The following is a 21,763-nucleotide window of genomic DNA, read 5'->3' on the forward strand; positions in this document are numbered from 1 at the left end:
TCTGTATCTAAACAACCTCAAGAACAATTACAATCAAAATTGAAAGGTGAGTGAAACCTAGGTAACATTTGCAACATAGAGTTCAAACCCTTGCTATGTAGAGTTCTAACAAATAAATGAGACAACTGCCAACATCCCAGTAGAAAAATGTTTGAAGGACAAAAACAGGAAATTCATAAATAAAGAATACAAAAGGTAAACCTATAAAAATAAATTGTATATTATTAAAAGTTGAATAAATTTGCTTAGTATATTGTTAGCAATCAAAGAGATTTAAACATAAATACCTTGATAAATTGCTTCTGTATCAAATTGGCCCAAATTCCTTTATGATAAAGTGTTGAATATAGGCATGTATATGTATATATGTATAAATATATACATAGATATACATAACTAATATATACACACATATATTTATATATGTAGCATATTTTACTAACAATGTGAGTGTATATACCAAATACATATGTATTTTTAAATATATATATACTTTATATATATTTATATTTAAATATGTACATATATTTAACAATATTTATATACCATTTATGTCTATACATAAATATATATTTAGTACATAGGTTTGCTACATATAAATATATATTTATATTTATGAAAGTGTATTAATATATCTCAAGTATGTATTAATATGATGATATATATATTTACTGATCCTTGAACAAAGCAAGAACTATTCAAACTTGGTGATTGCCATCAAATGAGACATTGATTATTCTTATCCCACTCTTTGTCCAAAATAATAATGACACAAACTTCTTTTCAGATATAGCAAGGCCTTTCTTTTTCTGTCTCCACCCACAAACTTTAATTATGGAACTGTATTTCTCAGGATATAATATCTATCTTAGGCTTCTTGACATGTTGTATTCTCAGAGTTGAAATCTCTATATAAATTTGGAATGAGTGGAGACAGGTGACATAATATAACAGCATTGGCCTTATTTCCAAAAGCAAGCAGCTTCCTTGAAGCAGAGAGAAGCCTAACCATTTCTGTCATTGGTCCGATACTTGAGTATCAGATTCAGGGTACAGACAACCACAAAGAGATAAAGCATTTCCTATCTTTTTACTGGTTGGCATGCTTAATCTAATTGTTGCTGGTAATTCAAAGTTTTTGGTAATAGATTGCCAGTCCAGGATTTTGCTTTAGCTCTTATCTTTTTAATGTCCTCATAAGTATCTTGGTGGGAGATAGAGGCTGAATCAGAATTTGCTAAGCATTTTAATTTTAAAATTGTAAATTATTGATCTTTTTCCTGATTGTGAAAGCATTCTTTTAATCTTACAGAAGATGTAATTACTGTGCAATTGTTATGCATAATAAACATCTTTTTGGAGAAAATAGAGTATAATTTTTAAAACTACTCTAGTGGAATATATACCTATATACCTATATTCACATGTCATGCAATTCATCTATTTAAACTCTTCACTTAATTTTGAAAATATATTCTGAGGCAGGCAGATCACTAGGTCAGGAGATTGAGACAATCCTGGCTAACACGGTGAAACCCCGTCTCTACTAAAAATACAAAAAAATTAGCCAGGTGTGGTGGTGCGCGCCTGTAGTCCCAGCTACTCGGGAGGCTGAGGCAGGAGAATCGCTTGAACCCAGGAGGCAGAGGTTTCAGTGAGCCGAGATCGTGCCACTGCACTCCAGCCTGGGCGACAGAGCCAGACTCTGTCTCAATATATATATGTACTCGTCATTTTTTATGGCTGCATAGTATTCCATGGTGTATATGAGAACACTTGGACACAGGAAGGAGAACATCACACACCGGGGCCTGTTGTGGGGTCGGGGGAGGGGGGAGGGATAGCATTAGGAGATATACTGAATGTAAATGACGAGTTAATGGGTGCAGCATACCAACATGGCACGTGTATACATATGTAACAAACCTGCACGTTGTGCACATGTACCCTAGAACTTAAAGTATAATAAAAATATATAAAAATATGTATATAGTATATATATTACATATATACGTATATGTTATATATTACTTATATATGTATATATATGTAATATATATATACATATATTCACACAGTTGTGTAACCATCACAACTATCTGATTCCAGAAAATTTTCATCACCACAGAAAAGAAACTCTGTACCTATTAAAAATAACCCCCCAACTTCGTGTCCTCCCAACCCTTGGTCCTTGTCCCAGGAAACCACTAATATACTTTCTGTCTTTATGGATTTGCTGATTTTAGACTTCATATAAATGGAAATATACAACAATTGGTCTTTTCTTTATGACTTATTTCATTTAGCATAATGTTTTCAAAGTTCATCTCTGTTATGGCATGAATCTATACTTCACTTCTTTTTGCTGCCAAATAAAGCTTTATTATATTATTGATCATTAGATATAAATTATTAATCAAGTTGATGGACATTTGGGTCATATCCACTTTTTGGCTCTTATGAATAATGATACTATGAACATTCATATTTTTTGGTCATATGTTTTCATTTCTCTTTGATATGTACCTTGAAATAGAATTGCTGGATCATATGGTAACTCTTTATTTAAATGTTTAAGAAACTGCTAAATTTTCTCAAAGTGGTTGCACAAATTTACATTCTCATCAGCAATGTAGGAAGCTTCCAGTTTCTCCAAATACTTATCAACATCTTTTGTTTTCTTTTCTTTTTTTAAGATATATGGCATAGTTGTTATGAGCACAAGTAGCTCAGTGGCTTCTGTCACTATGCAACTGATGAAATGAAAATTATGGAAATCATCATTATGAGACTTTAACATGACAATGGATGTGCAGTTCTTAGGTACAGTGACCGGTGCATATTGACTTCTCAGTAAATGTTAAGTTTATTTTAATAATCTATCTATTTATTTATTTATTTATTGAGATAGGGTCTCACTCTGATGCCCAGACTGGAGTGCAGTGGTGCAATCTTGGCTCACTGCAACCTCTGTCTCCTGGGTTCAAGTGATTCTGGGGCCTCAATCTCCTGAGTAGCTGCGATTACAGGCACGCACCATCATGCCCTGTTAATTTTTGTACTTTCTGAGGAGTCGGAGTTTCACCATATTGGCCAGGCTGGTCTCAAACTCCTGACCTCAAGTTATCCACCCTATTCGGCCTCCCAAAATTCTGGGATTACAGACGTGAGGCACTGTGCCTGACCAGTAATTGTTAACTTTAAATACTATCCTACCATACATTGTAAAAATGTAATTTTCTAATATATTTGAAATATATCAGATGAGATTGAGCAATATTGCAGAACTCCTGCTCTTGAACAGTAACGTTAAAAATTTCTCAAATCCTATAGGTGAAGTGTCCCTGATCTGAAATGCTTGGGACCAGATGTGTTTTAAGATTTCAAGAATTTTCAGATTTTGGAATATTTGCATAGACATAATGAGATGTCTTGGGAATAAGACCCAAGTATAAACATGAAATTCATTTTGTTTAATATATACCTTATATACATAGCATAAATATAATTTTATACAATATTTTTATATTATTTTATTTAGTTATCATTTATTTATTTTTGTACATGAATAAGTTATTTAGTGATGATTTCTGAGATGTTGGTGCAATCAACACCTGGGCAGTGTACACTATACCCAATGTGAAGTCTTTTATCCCTCACCCCCCTCCCACCCTTTCTCCCAAGTCCCCAAAGTCCATTATATAATTCTCATGCATTTGCATCCTCATAGCTTAGCTCTCACATGAGATCGAGAACATATGATGTTTGGTTTTCCATTCCTGGGTTATTTCACTTAGCATAATGGTCTCCGGTTCCATCCAGGTTGCTGCGAATGCCATTATTTTGTTCTTTTTATAGCTGAGTAGTATTCTATGGTATATATGTGTATATATATGTATATATATAGACACACACACACCATATATATGTGTGTGTATATATATGCATGAATATATATATGAAAATTATATGATTTTCTTTATATATGTGTATATGTTTATATATATACCATATATGTGTGTGTATATAAACACACATATATACATGTATAAAGAAAATAATATAATTTTCATTATCCACTCATTGATTGATGGGCATTTGGGCTGGTTTCATATTTTTACAATTGCTAATTGTGCTGATATAAACATGTGTGTGCAAGTATTATTATTATTTTTTGTATATTAACTTCTTTGCCTCTCGGTAGGTACCCAGTAGTGGTATTGCTATATCAAATGGTAGATCTACTTTTAGTTATTTAAGGAATTGCCAAACTATTTTCCATAGTGGTTGTAATAGTTTACATTGCCACCAACAGTGTAAAGGTGTTCCCTTTTCAGCAATCCATGCCAAGATCTATTATTATTATTTTAATTATGGCCATTCTTGCAGGAGTAAGGTGTTATCGCATTGTGATTTTTATTTGCATTTCCCTGATTATTAGTGATGTTGAGCATTTCTTCATGTTTGTTGATATTTGTATATCTTCTTTTGAGAATGATCTATTCATGTCCTTAGCCAACTTTTTGATGGGATTGCTTGATTTTTTCTTGCTGATTTGTTTGAGTTCCTTGCAGATTCTAGATATTAGTGTTTTGTTGTATCTATAGATTGTGAAGACTTTCTCCCATTCTGTGAGTTGTCTGTTAAATCTGCTATATTTCTTTTGCTGTGGAGAAACTTTTTAGTTTAATTAAGTCCCATCTATTTATCATTGTTTATGGCACATTTGCTTTTGGTTTCTTGGTCATGAAGTCTTTGCCTAAGCCAATGTCTACAGGGTTTTTCCCATGTTATCTTCTAGAATTTTTATGGTTTCAGGTCTTAGATTTAAGTCTTTGATCCAACTGGAGTTGATTTTTGTATAAGGTGAGAGATTAGGATCCAGTTTCATTCTTCTACATGTGGCTTGCCAATTATACCAGGACTATTTGTTTAATAGGGTGTCATTACCCCACTTTATGTTTTTATTTGCTTTGTTAAAGATCAGTTGGATGTAAGTATTTGGCTTTATTTCTGGGTTCTCTATTCTGTTCTATTGGTCTATATGCCTATCTTTATACCAGTACCATGCTATGTTTGTTACTATGGCCTTATAGTATAGTTTGAAGTTGGGTAATATGGTGTCTACAGATTTGCTCTTTTACTTAGTCTTGCTTTGGCTATGTGGGCTCTTTTTTGGTTCTATATGAATTTTAGGATTGTGTTTTCTAGTTCTGTGAAGAATGATGGTATTTTGATGGGAATTGCATTGAATTTGTAAGTTTCTTATGGCAGTATGGTCTTTTTCACAATATTGATTCTACCCATTCATGAGCATGAGATGTGTTTCCATTTGTTTGTGTCATCTATGATTTCTTTCAGCAGTGTTTTGTAGTTTTCCACGTAGAGCTCTTTCACCTCCTTGGTTAGGTATATCTCTAAGTTTTTTTTTTTTTTTCAGCTGTTGTAAATGGGGTTGAGTTCTTGATTTCATTCTCAGCTTGGTCGCTGTTGGTGTATAGCAGAGACATTGACTTGTGTACATTAATTTTGTATCGTGAAAGTTTGCTGAATTCATTTACCAGTTAAAGGAGTATTTTGGATGAGTCTTTAGGGTTTTCTAGGTATACGATCATGTCATCCGTGAATAGCAACAGTTTGACTTCCTCTTTACTGATTTGGATGCCCTTTATTTCTTTCTCTTGTCTAATTGCTCTGGCTAGAACTTCCAGTACTATGTTGAATAGAAGTGGTGAAAGTGGATGTCCTTGTCTTGTTCCAGTTCTCAGGGGGAATGCTTTCAACTTTTCCCTGTTCAGTATAATGTTGGCTGTGGGTTTGTCCTAGATGGCCGTTTTTACCTTAAGATATGTCCCTTCTATGCCAATTTTGCTGAGGGTTTTAATTATAAAGGGATGCTGAATTTTGTCAAATGCTTTTTCTGCATCTATTTAGATGATCATGTAATTTTTGTTTTTAATTCTGTTTATGTGGTGTATCACATTTATTGACTTGTGTATGTTAAACTATTCCCACATCCCTGGCATAAAACCTACTTCATCATGGTGGATTATCTTTTTGATATGCTGTTGGATTATATTAGTAATTTTTTGAGGATTTTTGCATCTATGTTCATCAGGGATGTTGGTCTGTCATTTTCTTTTTCTGTTATGTCCTTTCCTGGTTTTGGTATTAGGGTGATACTGGCTTCATAGAATGATTTAGGAAGGATTCCCTCTCTATCTTTTTGAATAGTGCCAATAAGATTGGTACTAGATCTTCTTTGAAAGTCTGTATAATTCAGCTGTGAATCCATCTGGTCCTAAACTTTTTTTTCATTGGCAATTTTCTTATTACTATTTCAATCTTGTTGCTTGTTATTCATCTGTTCAAAGTTTCTATTTCTTCCTGGTTTAATCTAGGAGGGTTGTATATTTCCAGGAATTTATCCATCTCCTCTAAGTTTTCTAGTTTATATGCATAAAGGTGTTCATAGTAGCCTTAAATGATCTTTTGTATTTCTGTGGTATTGGTTGTACTATCTCCTGTTTTGTTTCTCATTGAGCTTGTTTGCATCTTCTCTCTTCTTTTCTTGGTTAATCTCACTAATGGTCTATCAATTATATATATGTATGTATTAAAGAATCAGCTTTTTGTTTCATTTATCTTTTGTATTTTTTTGTTTCAATTTCCTTTAGCTCTGCTCTGATCTTTGTTATTTCTTTTATTCTTCCAGATTTGTGTTTGTTTTCTCTCTTTTTTCTCTCATTCATTGAGGTGTGACCTTATATTTTCTATTTGTGCTCTTTCAGACTTTTTGATGTAGACGTTTAATGCTATGAACTTTCCTCTTAGCACCACTTTTGCTGTATCCCAGATGTTTTGATAGGTTGTGTCACTATTATTGTTCAGTTCAAATAAATTTTTAATTTCCATCCTGATTTCTTTGTTGACCCAAAGATCATTCAGGAACAGGTTATTTACTTTCTATGTATTTGCATGGTTTTCAGTGTTCCTTTTTGAGTTGATTTCCAATTTTATTCAGCTGTGGTCTGAGAGAGTACTTGATATAATTTACATTTGTTTTAAATTTGTCGAGACTTGTTTTGTGGCCTATAATATGGTCTATCGTGAGGAATGTTCCATGTGCTGATGAATAGAATGTCTATTCTGCAGTTGTTGGGTAGAATGTTCTGTAAATATCTGTTAAGTTCATTTGTTCTAGGGTATAATTTAAGTCCATTGCTTCTTTGTTGACTTTCTGTCTTGATGACCTGTCTAGTGTTGTCAGTGGAGTATTGAAATCCCCCATTATTATTGTGTTGCCATCTATCTCATTTCTTAGGTTTAGTAGTAATTGTTTTATAAATTTTGGACCTCCATTGTTAGGTGCACATATATATAGGATTGTGGTACCTTCCTGTTGGCCTAGTCCTTTTATTATTACACAATGTCTTTCTTTGTATTTTTTAACTGCTGTTGCTTTAAAGTTTGTTTCGTCTGATATAAGAATAGCTACTCAGCTGGGTGCAGTGGCTCACATCTGTAATCCCAGCACTTTGGGAAGCCGAGATGGGTGAACCACCTGAGGTCAGGTGTTCAAGACCAGCTTGACCAACATGGTGAAACCCCGTCTCTACTAAAAATACAAAAATTAGCCAGGCATGGTGGTGGGTGCTTGCAATCCCAGCTACTCAGAAGGCTGAGGCAGGAGAATCACTTGAACCCAGGAGGTGGAGGTTGCACTGAGCCAAGATTGCACCAGTGCACTCCAGCCTGGGCAACAGAGCAAGGCTCTGTACCCAAAAAAAAAAAAAAAAAAAAAAAAAAAGCATAGCTACTCTGGCTTGCTTTTGATGTCCATTTTCACAGAATATCCTTTTCCACTCTTCTACCTTAAGTTTATGTGAGTTCTTATGTGTTAGATGCGTCTCTTGAAGACAGCAGATACTTGGTTAGAGAATTCTTATCCATTTTGTATCTTTTAAGTGGAGCATTTAGGCCACTTACATTCATTGCTAGTATTGAGATGTGAGGTACTATTCTATCCATCATGCTATTTATTGCCTGAATACCTTTTAAAAAAATTGTTATTGTTTTATAGGTCCTGTGAAATGTATGCTTTAAGGAGATTCTATTTTGGTGCATTTCAAGGATTTGTTTCAAGATTTAGAGGTCTTTTTTTCAGTTCTTGTAGTGCTGGGTTAGTAGTGGCAAATTATCTCAGCATTTGTTTCTCTGAAAAAGACTAACTTTCCTTCATTTATGAAGCTTAGTTTTGTGGGATACAAAATTCTTGGCTGCTAATTGTTTTGTTTAAGGAGGCTAACAATAGGACTCCAGTCCCTTCTATCTTGTAGGGTTTCTGCTGAGAAATCTGCTGTGAATCTGATAGGTTTTCCTTTAGAGGTTACCTGATGTTTTTGCCTCACAGCTCTTAAGATTCTTTGCTTCATCCTGACCTTAGATAACCTGACTACTATGTGCTTAGGTGATCTTTTTGCAATGAATTTCCCAGGTGTTCTTTGAGCTTCTTGTATTCGTATGTCTAGATCTCCAGCAAGGCCACAGAAGTTTTCCTTGATTATTCCCTCAATTACATTTTCCAAACTTTTTGATTTCTCTTCTTCCTCAGGAACACCAATTATTCTTAGGTTTGGTCATTTAACATAATCCAAACTTCTTGGAGGCTTTGTTCATTTTAGAAATTTTTTTCTTTGTCTTTGTTGGATTTAGTTAATTCAAAAGCCTTTTCTTTGAGCTCTGAAGTTCTTTCTTCTGCTTGTTCCATTCTATTGCTGAGACTTTCCAGTGCATTTTGCATTTCTCTAAGTGTGTTTTTGATTTCCAGATGTTGTGATTGTTTTTTTGTTTATGTTATTTCAGTGGAGATTTTTTCCATTCATATCCTGTATCTTTTTTTTTTATTTCTTTAAGTTGCACTTTGCCATTCTCTCATGCCTCCTTGATTAGCTTAATAATCAATGTTCTGTACTCTCTTTCTGGCAATTCAGAGATTTCTTCTTGGTTTGGACACATTGCTGGTTAGCTAGCGTGATCTTTTGGGGTTGTTAAAGGACCTTGTTTTGTCATATTACCATATTACCTTCTAATTTGCATAGACTATGTCAGAGGGAAGATCTGGGATTTAAGGGCTGCTGTTCTGATTCTTTTGTCCTACAGGGTGCTCCTTTCATTTAGTGCTCCCTTCTTCCCCTAGAGATAGAGCTTTCTGAGAGCCTAATTGCAGTTATTTTTATTTCTTTTGTTGATCTAACCCCCCAGCAGAACTACTGGGCTCTGGGCTGGTACTGGAGAGTGTTTGCAAAGAGTCCTGTGATGTGATCCATCTTAATGCTCTCAACTGTGGATAATAGCACCTACTCCAGTGGAGGTAGCAAGGGAATGAAGTGGGCTCTTTGAGAGACCTTGGTTGTATTTTTGTTGAGTGTTCTGCTTTTGTGTTTGTTGGCCTGCAGCCAGGAGGGTGCACTTTCAAGAGTGAATCACCTGCAGTAGTATAGGAAGGATACAAGATTGCCCTAGGGTCAGGCAGTGGGCAGAGCCATAGAGCTCCCAAGATATGTCTTTTGTCTTTGGCTACCAGGGCAGGTAGAGAAAGACCATCAGGTGGGGGCACCATTAGGCGTGTCTGAGCTCACACACTCCTTGGGTGGGGCTTGCTGCAATGGCTGTAGGGAATAGGGTGTGGTTTCCAGGCCAGTGGATTTTATGTTCCCAGGGGGATTATGGCTGCCTTTGCTGCATCACACAAATAGCCATGAAAGTGTTCCCAGGGGGATTATGGTTGTCTCTGCTGCATCACACAAATAGCCATGGAAGTGGGAGAAAGCCGGCAGCCACAGGTCCCACCCAGCTCCCACGCGGCCTGTAGCCTGAAAGGCCTGTCTCACTCCTACCGTGCCCCCACCCCCCAACAGCACCGAGTTTTTTTCCAGGCAGTTGGTGAGCAGGGCTGAAAACTTGTCCCAGGTTACAAATCTCACAGCTGAGAAAGCAAGCAAACTCTGTTCCTTGGCTGTCCTACAGAGCCTGCAGCGGCAATCCACCTCCTTCAAAGGGTCTGTGGATTCCCTCTGCTTTCATGGTATGTTCCTGCCATAGTTCTGGGAGCAAAATTTACCATGTGAGTCTCTGGATGCTGCTCTGTCCATCCGAGTGGAGCAGCAAGTTGGTTCTGCCTCCTATTCACCATTTCCCATGTTTTAAACACTTTTTATTTTCTTTCTTTCTGATTTTAGCCATCCTGGTAGGTGTGAAGTGGTATCACATTATAGTTTTGATTTGTATTTACCTGATGACCAATAATATTGAATATCTTTTTATGTGCTTCTTGGCTATTTGTATATCTTTCTGAATAAATATCTATTCAAATCAATAGATTATAATTTCTAAAATTTATGGCATTTATTGTCAGTAGCCAGATATGAAAGGATATTTGGAAAACATTTTAAAAACAAAATGCTTAGTGCGTCACATCTTGCTCTTTTTATTGCATTCTGCAGTTCTTTGTGTATTGATCAAACCTTATCAGAGATACTATGTGAAACCATTAGAATATGTCTTATTTTCATGTTACATTTCTAATTATATTAGTCTGTTGATGTTAAGACCTCTTTATTTACGTTATCTTACTTCTACAGAAAGCATTGTTTCCTTATTTTTAGAATTTTGAACTAGAAAGTGCATTAAATATTGTTGTAAATTTAAATTACAAAACAAAAAGCCTGGTTTCCTAAATCAAATTCATTTTTAGCCCAGGAGGATACTGTAGCAGAATATGATTTTCTTTGTCTTTAGTGATCCACCATCTTAAAAAATATAGAGGATTTATTTGGGACAGACCAACATAATTCAGTCATAAATTTACTTGGTGCCTATGTCTACTGGGAAAATACTTCAATAGTACTATTTTTATATTGTAGAGTATTTGTTCTTTCCCCCTGTCTTTGGTGCTACTAGGTCTAGTTGTGAGCCTGATTGGACCATGTGCTCTTACTACCCCCTGCGGCTTCTAATCAACCTACAGTTGAACCTACTAATAACAGAAAACTTACCACCTTTAGAAACAGCTCTCTTCATATTTGGACAACTTTGACATAAAGGAAAATTATTTTCCTACTTGTTCAATCCTTCTGATTTATAAAGAAAAAGTGAGGACACATTGTTAAAAAGGAAATTCCATTTTGGTTCCAACTGTTTACAGTAAGGGCTATAGTGGAAATGAAATTATAGTGGAAATAAAATGAAGAGAAACTACTCTTTCTTACATACGCAAACTTTTTTCAGCGTGCTCTGAGGGCTGTCCATTTGGCTCCATGGCCTACACTATATCTTTAATTTCTGGTCCCTTTTTGCACTATTCACTTGCCTTCTTTGTCCATCCATTCTATCGTGCCAAACAAAAAGCAATCACCCAGTTGCAGGAATGCTTACTTAGAGAGAAGTATTTCTCCACAAATATTTTTCCAAAAACTTCCTAATATTTTCTCTGCTACATCTTTTATGCAATATGACCTTTGGCTTATTAATCAAATTTTATATGCCTTCTTAGAAATCTATCTGCTGATTATTTGTCTCAAATAAAAAATTAAAAATAAGATTATTTTGAGGGTAGATATTAAGGGAGGTGGGGGAAAGTATCTGAGATCATTTTATGGATTCTTCTTCTCAATGAGGAGAGAGTGAAAAATTCAATGGTTAATTATTCAAACTTATGTGTGTGTGCCAGTGGGTGTAACTGTCTATACTTTTCTCAATTTACATTAAGTGTAGATCACATTCACAAATACTTATTAACTGAATGATAAATCTTTCCTCAATAATAAAAACATTCTGATCACAGTTCAGAAAAGAGGGAAGGAATCTGGGGTCACAATTCAATTGTTTGAAAGAAAAATTTAATTCATACAGAAACTTGTTGCAGAAATAAATTGCCCTTAATGTGTTATTATATAAAGGCTTCCTTCCTGCTCCCTCCTATTACCTGAAGGTGGCATCCTTTCTATAAACCAATTTTTCATTACCCTCACAGAAAGGCATGTCCATGTTGCCAACATACTCAATACTACAAAGGTCAAACCACCAGGCAAAACCACTTTTCCTCACAGAATATATTAATCAAGAAAATTAAAGATTATTTATGCCCATCTCAAAGATGACAACAAAAAGAAAAATGAGAATCAAGTCTCATCATACAGCTGCATAACCAGACCTTTAACAAGAATCAGAAGAACATATAAACAGAAGAGATCTTGTCTTAAATGTCTTAAATTTTGTACTTTATCAAAGAATGAATTAAAATGCTTCAAAACTTCTGCATGCTAATAGCACCTGTGAACCAAAACAACCTGCCAGAATATAAAACATGTTGCTTCAAAATAACTGCATCTAAAAGGAAGTTTTTAAGGAGAAATTATTCTATAATTACTATTACCATCCTCGGTTTAAAGTGACCCTTTTCAGAGGTTCCATATCTCCCATGACAGTCCTGGGCAAGGAATAACTTCCAGCATTTCAAAAATGTCTCAGAAATGCCAAGTAGCTGATTTGTTCTTGGCTTTGCTCAAGTTATGCGTTTTATAATCCATTAAAAAATAAAAACAAATTTAAACTTCATCTACCCTTGGAACAAACCCTAGATATTACATGTGTTTTGTCTACTCTGGCCCACACAGTAATAAAATGTCAGAGATGAGTTTTTAGTGTAGAGAGTAGACATTATAAGGTTGTGCTTCATTGAGGCACACTTGAAAAGCAACCAAAATTGTGACTCAGAATATCAAAAGTTTCAAACTAAATCATTTGATAATAACATAAAATGATTTAAGAATGTTCTATGACAAGTCTTGTACACCTTAATCACAATAATTCCCTATTTTCTACAAGACAGTGCAGTTTTATATTCACCATTCCTGTGCAGAATTTAAAGGTCTTAGGAAACTGACTTTCACAGGCTCATGCTGGTTTTGCCTGCCTTTATAATGAAAAAGAAATCCCCTATTTTGCTTCCATTTCATTTCCTGTATTCGTGATTATGCATTTAGACCAGTGTTGGAAAATTACATCCCTAGCAAAAACCTGGCCCACCACCTGTTTATGTAAATAAAGTTGCATTGGAACATATCCACGCTCATTAATTTATGCATTCTCTATGGGTACTTTTGTACCACAACCACAGGGCTTGATATGTGTGGCAGAGATCATCTGGTCTATAAAGCTGGAAATATTTTCCTTTACACCAAAAGTTTGTTGACCCCACAATAGAATGTAATATCCATGCCACTCCAAGAAGGTAAGTTTCATGGCAACATACACTATATTTGTCTTATTTGTTGCTGTATTCCTTTTCCCTAGAACAATGTCTGGTATATAATTGAGGCTCAATAAATACCAGTTGATTAATGAGTGAATAATTGTTACCTTGATCACATTTAAGCAGCCAGTCTTTCCATACTCAGATACAAGAAAGACTAGCCTACTCCACTGACCCTATGTCTTTCAGTCACTTGAGTCTTGGAGCCTGGACAAGGAGAATGGAAGGTAATCAGGAATGGAGAAGCAGCCAATGGCTTAACATCTGAATCACACTGTTTTCATTGACCATGCAGAGGAAAAGCTCCTTAAAGTTTTGTTTTGTTTGTCTATGCAGTGCCTAGCATGGAAGAAGCAGAATTCAGTAATTAACACACATATTGTTGTTGTTGTTGTTATGATAATCAGAATAGTGATAGCAATTATCTAATTTGGTCACTGCTCTGTAAAAATCCTTTCTGATCACAAACACCAACTTTACCCCCTTCTATTCTTAAGGCACAAAACAAATAGGAGGTATCTCCTAACTTAGTTCTTCAAAGGATAAATGCTGATGAAATAGAGGATTTTTAAAAGTCAGAAATTAATTATAACAAATGATTCAGAGGTAGTGATAAAGAATATAAAGATATGAACATTGGATTTTCTAACCTTTGCTAGAATAGTTTCAATCGAAGTGTGAACTTGTATATCTAACTGCAGGAGATTAAAATAAAATGGGTATACCCAAACCAGACAAACATTACAAGAAAAAAACCACACAACTATAGACCAATATATTTTATAAATATAGACATAAAATTCTAAACAAATGCTAGGAAAAAAATCCAGCAACAGGCAAAAAGAAATACTTAGCACAACCACATGGGATCTATCCCAACATGCAAGGGTGATTCAACATACATAAGTAAATCAATGCAATATACCATATTAATGGCAGTAAGAACAAAAATCCCATTATCTTCGCAATAGATGCAGAAAAAGTATCTGACAAATTTCAACATCATTTTACCATGAAACAATCAACAAATTAGTAATAGAAGAAAATGTCTTTAACCTAATAAAGAAAAAGTATGAGAACCTAGAACGAATATCATACTTAATGGTAAAAAAATGAAAGCTTTCTCACTAAGATCAGGAACAAGACAAAGCTACTTGCTCTCCCCATTTCTATTCAATATTGTAGTAAGGTTCTAGCCAGAATATGTAACAAAAAAAACAAGTCATCCAAATTATAAAGAAGTAAGACATCTCTTCTCACAGATGACATGACCTTATGTACACAGAAACTCATGAGGATTCCACAAAAACTATTATAAATAATAAACAAATTGAGCATGTTTTCAGGATACAATGTTAATATCAAAACTTAAGCTCCTGTAATCAAGATTGCGTGATACTTAAATATGGAGAGCCATATATGTCAAAGAAATATAATTGAAAGTGTAGAAATAAACCCACACATTTATGATCAATTGCTTTCTGATAAGAATGCCAAAATAATTCAATGAAAAAAGAATAGTCTTTTTGACTGTAGGTAAGAAAGTCAGTAGAGAAGAAAAGGGCGCAGGACTACCATGTTTCATTTTGTTGATATGCAAATTAAAGCCTATGTAAGTCAAAATCAGGCTCAAGGGTATTTCACTCATGCAAAATCAGTTCTATCAGAGGATGAAAACAGCTTTAAGAATACATATGCTTCTTGGGAGCCAAGATGGCTGACTACACGCAGCCAGGAAGAACTTCTGCCACCAAGAGACAAGACCATCAAGAGGAACAGCCAACTCTGAGAAGATCTTTGGAAGGCACTGAGAATGGGTGGAAGGAGAATGCAGACCCTGGGCTGAAGAAGCTGGGAAGCATGGGGTTGCTGAACACAAGAACTCTTTCCTGGTCCTGAGTGGCTCTGGGGAAGGGATGAGTTAAATAGGCATGGAGTGTCCCACTATCGCCATGGACTTAGAGAGTCCTAGCTGCAGGAGACCACACAACTCCACAAAACATTCAAGCTGTCAGGGATTGCTGCCTGGAGAATTGGAAGGGATGGTACTAGAGACTGCACGAGCCCACAGGGTTTGACACAGGAACAGCTGCAGTGGAACACAGCTAGGAATACCAATCCCCACAAGGCTTGCCACACTCCTCTAGGTGGCTTTGGCCTTTGTTGACTATCAGACCCGGACAGATAGACAAGGAGCCAGTCTGATCTCAGTACCTCCCTGTCTGCCAGCCTCTCCTGGGGTCCCTGCCTGGCCACACCTGCTTGCCGTGAAACCTCAGAAGCCCAACTGGGTAGCTTGCCAGCAATCACTGTCATAGCTCTTTCACTGGCAGACCCTGCCTACAGAGCAGAGAGTTTTTGCAGATGGGCCCCCACCAGCATGCACCTGCCCACAGCCTTTGCCCACCACTTTGCCAACATGAACTGACCCACAGAAAACCCCAGTGCTTTGCCAGCACATGTGTGCACACCATCTCCACTTCCACCTCGACAGCCGCGGGCACGCAAAGCTCAGGGCACATTCCCTCACCCTCTCCTTTTCCAGCCCGGGTGCCTGGGCATATCCACAGCATGCAAAGGCTGCGCCCAACAGCCATGAGGGGAAATAAATAAATAAATACAAACACGGCTATCGCTGGAACCCCACAAGGCTGACAGGTGGGTGCTTCTCATGCACCATGCCAAAGGAACATTTTTCCCCTGGCCACAGAATTCCACCCGGTCTGAACCAGGGGAAGAATACAAGGATTAAAGGGACCCACTAGCACTGAGCAAGGGGTTCTTTCCCCAGGACCTGCCCATATTGCCCCTTAAATTCTTTTTCTTTTCTTCTTCTTCTTTTTTTTTTTTTTTTTTTTTTTTTGCCTTTTCTAAGTGAGAGGGCTCCTCCTCCGCAGCGCTCTGTTTTTGATAGGGCAGTTAATGGAGTAAAGATCCTGGCTGGCTGATAACTGCAAAGTCGGCAGGGCCCATTTGAGACAAACAGCCCCTGAAATATCTTTTAAGTCCTAAACTTGACTCCAAGTTGCTGGCTGAGGCCCTAGAAAGGAAAATAAGGTCTGAGGGATCCAAAGCCAGGCAACAGGCACAATGTAAATAGGCAGGACCAATTCCTGCCCACTGAACCCCCCAACCCCCACCCCATGGAAGGAGGCCATGCTCCATGGCATAAACAGGCCCAGGAAACTCAAAAGTTGTTGACAGCAAAGGAAAATAGAGGCATAGGTGTGAGAGGTTAATTCCTATTCTCCAGGTTTTCCCTGCTACATGGGTGCATACGGCATTGATATCTATGGCCAGCACCTGCGAAGTTCGCCAGGACTCAGGGATACAAAGATGGAAGAGAAAGGGACGATCACTTTCTCTCTCCATCACACCCTGAGTTTTCACTAAAAGAAGCAAGGGAAATGAGAGACACCTCTATTTTCTGTCTTTCAGAATGAGCAAAATGTGGCACATATACACCATGGAATACTATGCAGCCATAAAAAATGATGAGTTCATGTCCTTTGTAGGGACATGGATGAAACTGGAAACCATCATTCTCAGCAAACTATCACAAGGACAAAAAACCAAACACCGCATGTTCTCACTCATAGGTGGGAACTGAACAATGAGAACACATGGACACAGGAAGGGGAACATCACACACCGGGGACTGTTGTGGGGTGGGGGGAGAGGGGAGGGATAGCATTAGGAGATATACCTAATGCTTAATGACGAGTTAATGGGTGCAGCACACCAAAATGGCACATGTATACATATGTAACAAACCTGCATGTTGTGCACATGTACCCTAAAACTTAAAGTATAATAATAATAAAATTAAAAGAAAAAAAACAGAATTTAAGCTCAACCAATTAGAAGTAGCCAATAAACTAATAATTATATAACGAAGGAGTTTCCAACTGGATAAAACAAATATGGCAACAGTTTAACTGTAACCAATCAAATACTTGCTTAACTTCTGTGTCCATCTTTTAAAAGCCTCCCTTTTGCAGTTCCTCAGTGGAGCTCCTAAACCACTCCTGGTTTGGAGCTGCCTGATTCATGAACTGTTGTTTGTTCAAATAAACTCTTTAAAAATTAAAAAAAAAAAAAAAAGAATGAGCAACCAGCTCTCTTCACCCACCCCAGCTTATACACCTCTGGGTTGTATCCTGCTTTGACACTCAGAATCTGGAGGACAAATGCCTCCTAGCCCTCTGCACAAAGGTTTGGCAAAATTATGAAAGACTAGGTTTGCCTCAGGAAGTAACTATTTGCTTCAATACTGTCCGTCAGTTGGAACTTTTCTGTAGATGTGAGGACAGATGGTCTGAGGCACCATATTGTTGCATAACTTTTCCTTAGTTCAGCTAAAGATGGGGTCCTTGCCGCAGGGCCATGAAAATTTAGGCTCATAGACAATTTGAAGGGTAAGGCAGGGTTTTATTGGGTGAAAAGGGGGGAAAAAAGAAAACAGGGACCCTCGGCAAAGCCAGAGTCCCTGCTGGTGCACTTCCTGCCTCACAGTTTGAACTCCAGGTTCCACACAGAAAGAGGGGCCAGACTCCTCCATGCTGAAAACTGCACAAACTTCTGCAGCTCCACCCCAGTATGCACTCCTCTCAGTGTGCAGGCCAGCTGGAGTTTCACCAGGTAGCCCTTCCCACCTGTCTGTCTCATTTCCCCCTCTAAAGCAGTACATCCAACTGACATTAGAATAAAAAATATAGATAAGGATGAAGACCAATCTTAACTGCTTCCTGGTGACGGTGGCACTGTTTTGGGAGAAGCAGCAGTCAGAGCTCCCTCAGAGGTATATCTAAGGGTTCCCAGCAGAAGGGGCCATCATCCAAGGCTCTGGTTATATGACCCTTTGGAATTTGATGGCCTGAAGTCAAGAAGAGACAAACCAGGTTGTTAGAAAACATGTAATAAAATGAAACAAGGAGAGGGATAAGGACAGCTCAGAAATCCTAAGGCCTTTTTCCAGTTTGCACAGGAAGAGGGAGGCCAAAAGCCCTACTGGTAAAAAAAAAAAAAAAAAAAAAAAAAAAAAAATTTAGCCAACATATTGGGCTTCTGTGTTCCCTTCCCCTGAGGCCAATCCTAAACCAACCAGTTTAAGGATTGGGAAATTAACTCTTTCCAGTTTGGAAGATGCATGAGTGTCCCATAGTAAAAAGACACAATTACCTATCTGTAAAGATAGAACCAAGGAGAAGAAAAAAAATAATAATGCTTTTTTTCAAAGGAGTTCCAGAGGTTCAGAATGCATCCAAAAGGGGTACAGACTGGGCCGGGAGCGGTGGCTCATGCCTGTAATCCCAGCACTTTGGGAGGCCGAGGCAGGTGGATCATGAGGTCAGGAGTTCGAGACCAGCCTGACCAACATGGTGAAACCCTGTCTCTACTAAAAATACAAAAAAAAAATTAGCCGGGTGTGGTGGACGCCTGTAATCCCAACTACTCAGGAGGCTGAGGCAGGAGAATCGCTTGAACCTGGGAGGTAGAGGTTGCAGTGAGCCAAGACTGCACCATTGCACTCTGACAGAGCAAGACTCCATCTCAAAAAAAGGGGGCTACAGATTGAAGATGAATGATTACCCCTCTAGAAAGAGGGGAGCAGGCGTCTTCTGAGCAGATACACAGGGTACGTGAGGGAGAGAAGAAAGAGCATCCTCTTTCCCTCTTCCATCCTGCATCCCTGAGTCCTGGCAACCTTGGCAGGTGCCGCCATGAGTGCCAAAATGGCTTGCACACATGAATCAGGGCTGCCTAGGGAGTGGGAATCATCCACTCTTACCCATGTATGCCCTATCTCCCCTGGTATCAATAGCCTTGAATTCCCTAAAACTCATTTATGCCATGGATACTAGCATGGCCTTTATCCATGGACATGGGAAGCCTGAGCTTAGCTTGATCGGCAGGAGGTAGCCATGCTTACCTGTACTGTGCCCTTTTAACCTATGTTGTCATCTGCCTCTGGATCCCTTAGATACAGTTTCTTTCCTAGGGCTTTGATCCAAAGCTTGGAATTGAAAATGTGTCTGGCGGGGGCGGGGTTTGCAGGGGCTTCTTATCATAAGTCGAATGCTAAGGTGAAGCTCTGGAACTGAGCCCTTCTCCAGCAAGAAAGAGAAAAGGATGTCTTGTGACACACCCAGATAACTGGTAGCTATAGTTATGCTTTCTAGGATTTGGGTGCATGGTGCCTGGCCTTTGTTAGCTCCCTTGGTCTTACTTTCCCAAAACAAAACCTCAGAGTGATGGCATCCTATCACCTGGCAGGTCTTGCAAAATTAAATTGCTCAGAACTAGAATATTATCCCAGGTTTCTACATCACCCATCCCTTTTGTTATTTCTGAGATGTAGCTGGATATTGCTGATTGTTTCACAGGAACAAGCAGGGTTAGTCTAAAAATGTAGGCAAAAACTTAAAAACAACTAATAAGCTTAGAATTTAACGACAAATGCATGATAAGTTTTAAAACATAATTTCTCTCTCTCCAGTTCTCATTTTTGTTAAAAAAAAATCATAGGACTGAGTGGTTTGCAAAGTAGACTTTAGTTTTATACTTGGCCTAATTATTTGCATGAAGTATAGCAAGAATAACTCTTTCTACACAGGCCTTTTGGATTGGCTTTGATGGAAGTCTGTTCCACAAGGAACCTCCGATGAGGCCTTTAAAGCTAAGCCCAGCCATGGGTTTGTATCCTCAAATACCTGTGAGTTAGGTGATCCTCTCCTCTTAATGTCCCAAGATATACTTGGAGATCCTGGACCTCTTAGAAAGTGACATTCTTAACTGACCACAGGTCAGGAACCCTGTACAGGGACTGTGTAGATGAGGGTATAAGACCAGTCTCCCATGGGGCTTTTACTGGCTCTGCATGTTGAGATTTACTCCTTAAAGAGAAGCATACACTTCCAGTCAAAGCCTTGGTAAAATACCCAGTTTTTCCAATTGCATCCTATTGCAAAAGAAAAATGGATTCTTATTGCACAGATACAAACAACTATATTGCCGTAAGTTAAGAATACTTACAGATAGTTTCCAAATTCTAGAGGAACCAGGCAGAGAGAAACAAACATGCTCTAAATTTTGATCACAGGAGTATACTCAATTATTAAAGGCCATAAATCGTTCAAAATACATTTCCTTGACTCTGAAAAACAAAACGTGGACCAGCAATTTTTCAAGCAAAAGTCATAAAGGCTGTTTCAGCTTTCTCAGTTCAGTCCATTTAGTTAAAACTCTTGTTTTGCATGATATTCATGAACATATCAGCTCTTCATGAGTCTTGTAAACTTTCCTTTATTCCAATGTCACAATCTCAAAAGTTTTCAGAAGCTTGTATTTGACAGCACCTGTTAAAGTTCTATAGCTTATTATAAACCATCTTTTGAAAAGAATAAAACAAGACAACAATTGTCCATGAATAGCAAAATGTCCAGGATAGTTACAAACACAATTGACAAAGAAGTTTGGTAATTTCTGTGGTTTACAATGACTTAATATAATGACCTTAATTATGATTGATAGTATATACTTGGACTAGAATTTGAGAAATCCCATACAATTTTGGAACATATGTTAGCATTACTCACAAAAATATAACCTAAAGAAAATTGAACATCATTTTGGCAACACCATGCACCTAAATATGTCAAATAATCCTGTTTATCTTGCTTTTCTGGACACTGTAGGGGCCCTCTGAAGTATCCAAAAAGCCAGGCATCAGGAAAGACAATTTTGAAACTGAAGTTTGATTTTGGGAAGCCTATTAAATATGTTTAAAGCATTTGATATTATGAAATAGAATTTCAGATTACCATACATTATTTATTTTTCCAAAACTGTGACTCAGAATTTTTAAGAAGCAAAAACCTTTTATAACCCTTTACAAATTTTGCCAAAGAGCATATTAGTACCTTAAGAATACCTTGTTATTGTTCTCTTTCAATGCTCAATTTACAGAAAAGTCATATAATACCCTTTTGAATTTAGTCAATATGTTTACATAGAGAACCCCTTTGTGAGATTAATTTTCACAATCCTTCCACCACTTGTTTGAGCCTTCAGATTTTCCTAACTCAAAACAATCCTTTAACCCTAGGCAAAAATTTATATATCCATGACTTCTTACAACCTTTGACTAAAACACACATTTTATTATTCTTACACACCTTGCATGTAAATTTATGTTCAGTAGTTTCAATTACATGTTATAATGGTAACTCCTAGTAATTTTTAACGTTAAGGTAAAATCTGGTAAGTTGCTTTAATTGTGTGCTAAGTACAGCCAAGGTTTGCTTTCCAGCGTAATTAGGGGTGTGGTTAGTTCCATATGTCCTCAAGCCTTACCAATTCTGAAGCAGGCAAGTCAAATATTTCTTAAAACCCATAAATCAGTTTGTAACCTCAAAACACTGAGCAAACCTTGCATCTGACTTGCAT

Source organism: Homo sapiens, chromosome X, assembly GCF_000001405.40.
Source record: "Homo sapiens chromosome X, GRCh38.p14 Primary Assembly".
Lineage (NCBI taxonomy): Eukaryota > Metazoa > Chordata > Mammalia > Primates > Hominidae > Homo > Homo sapiens.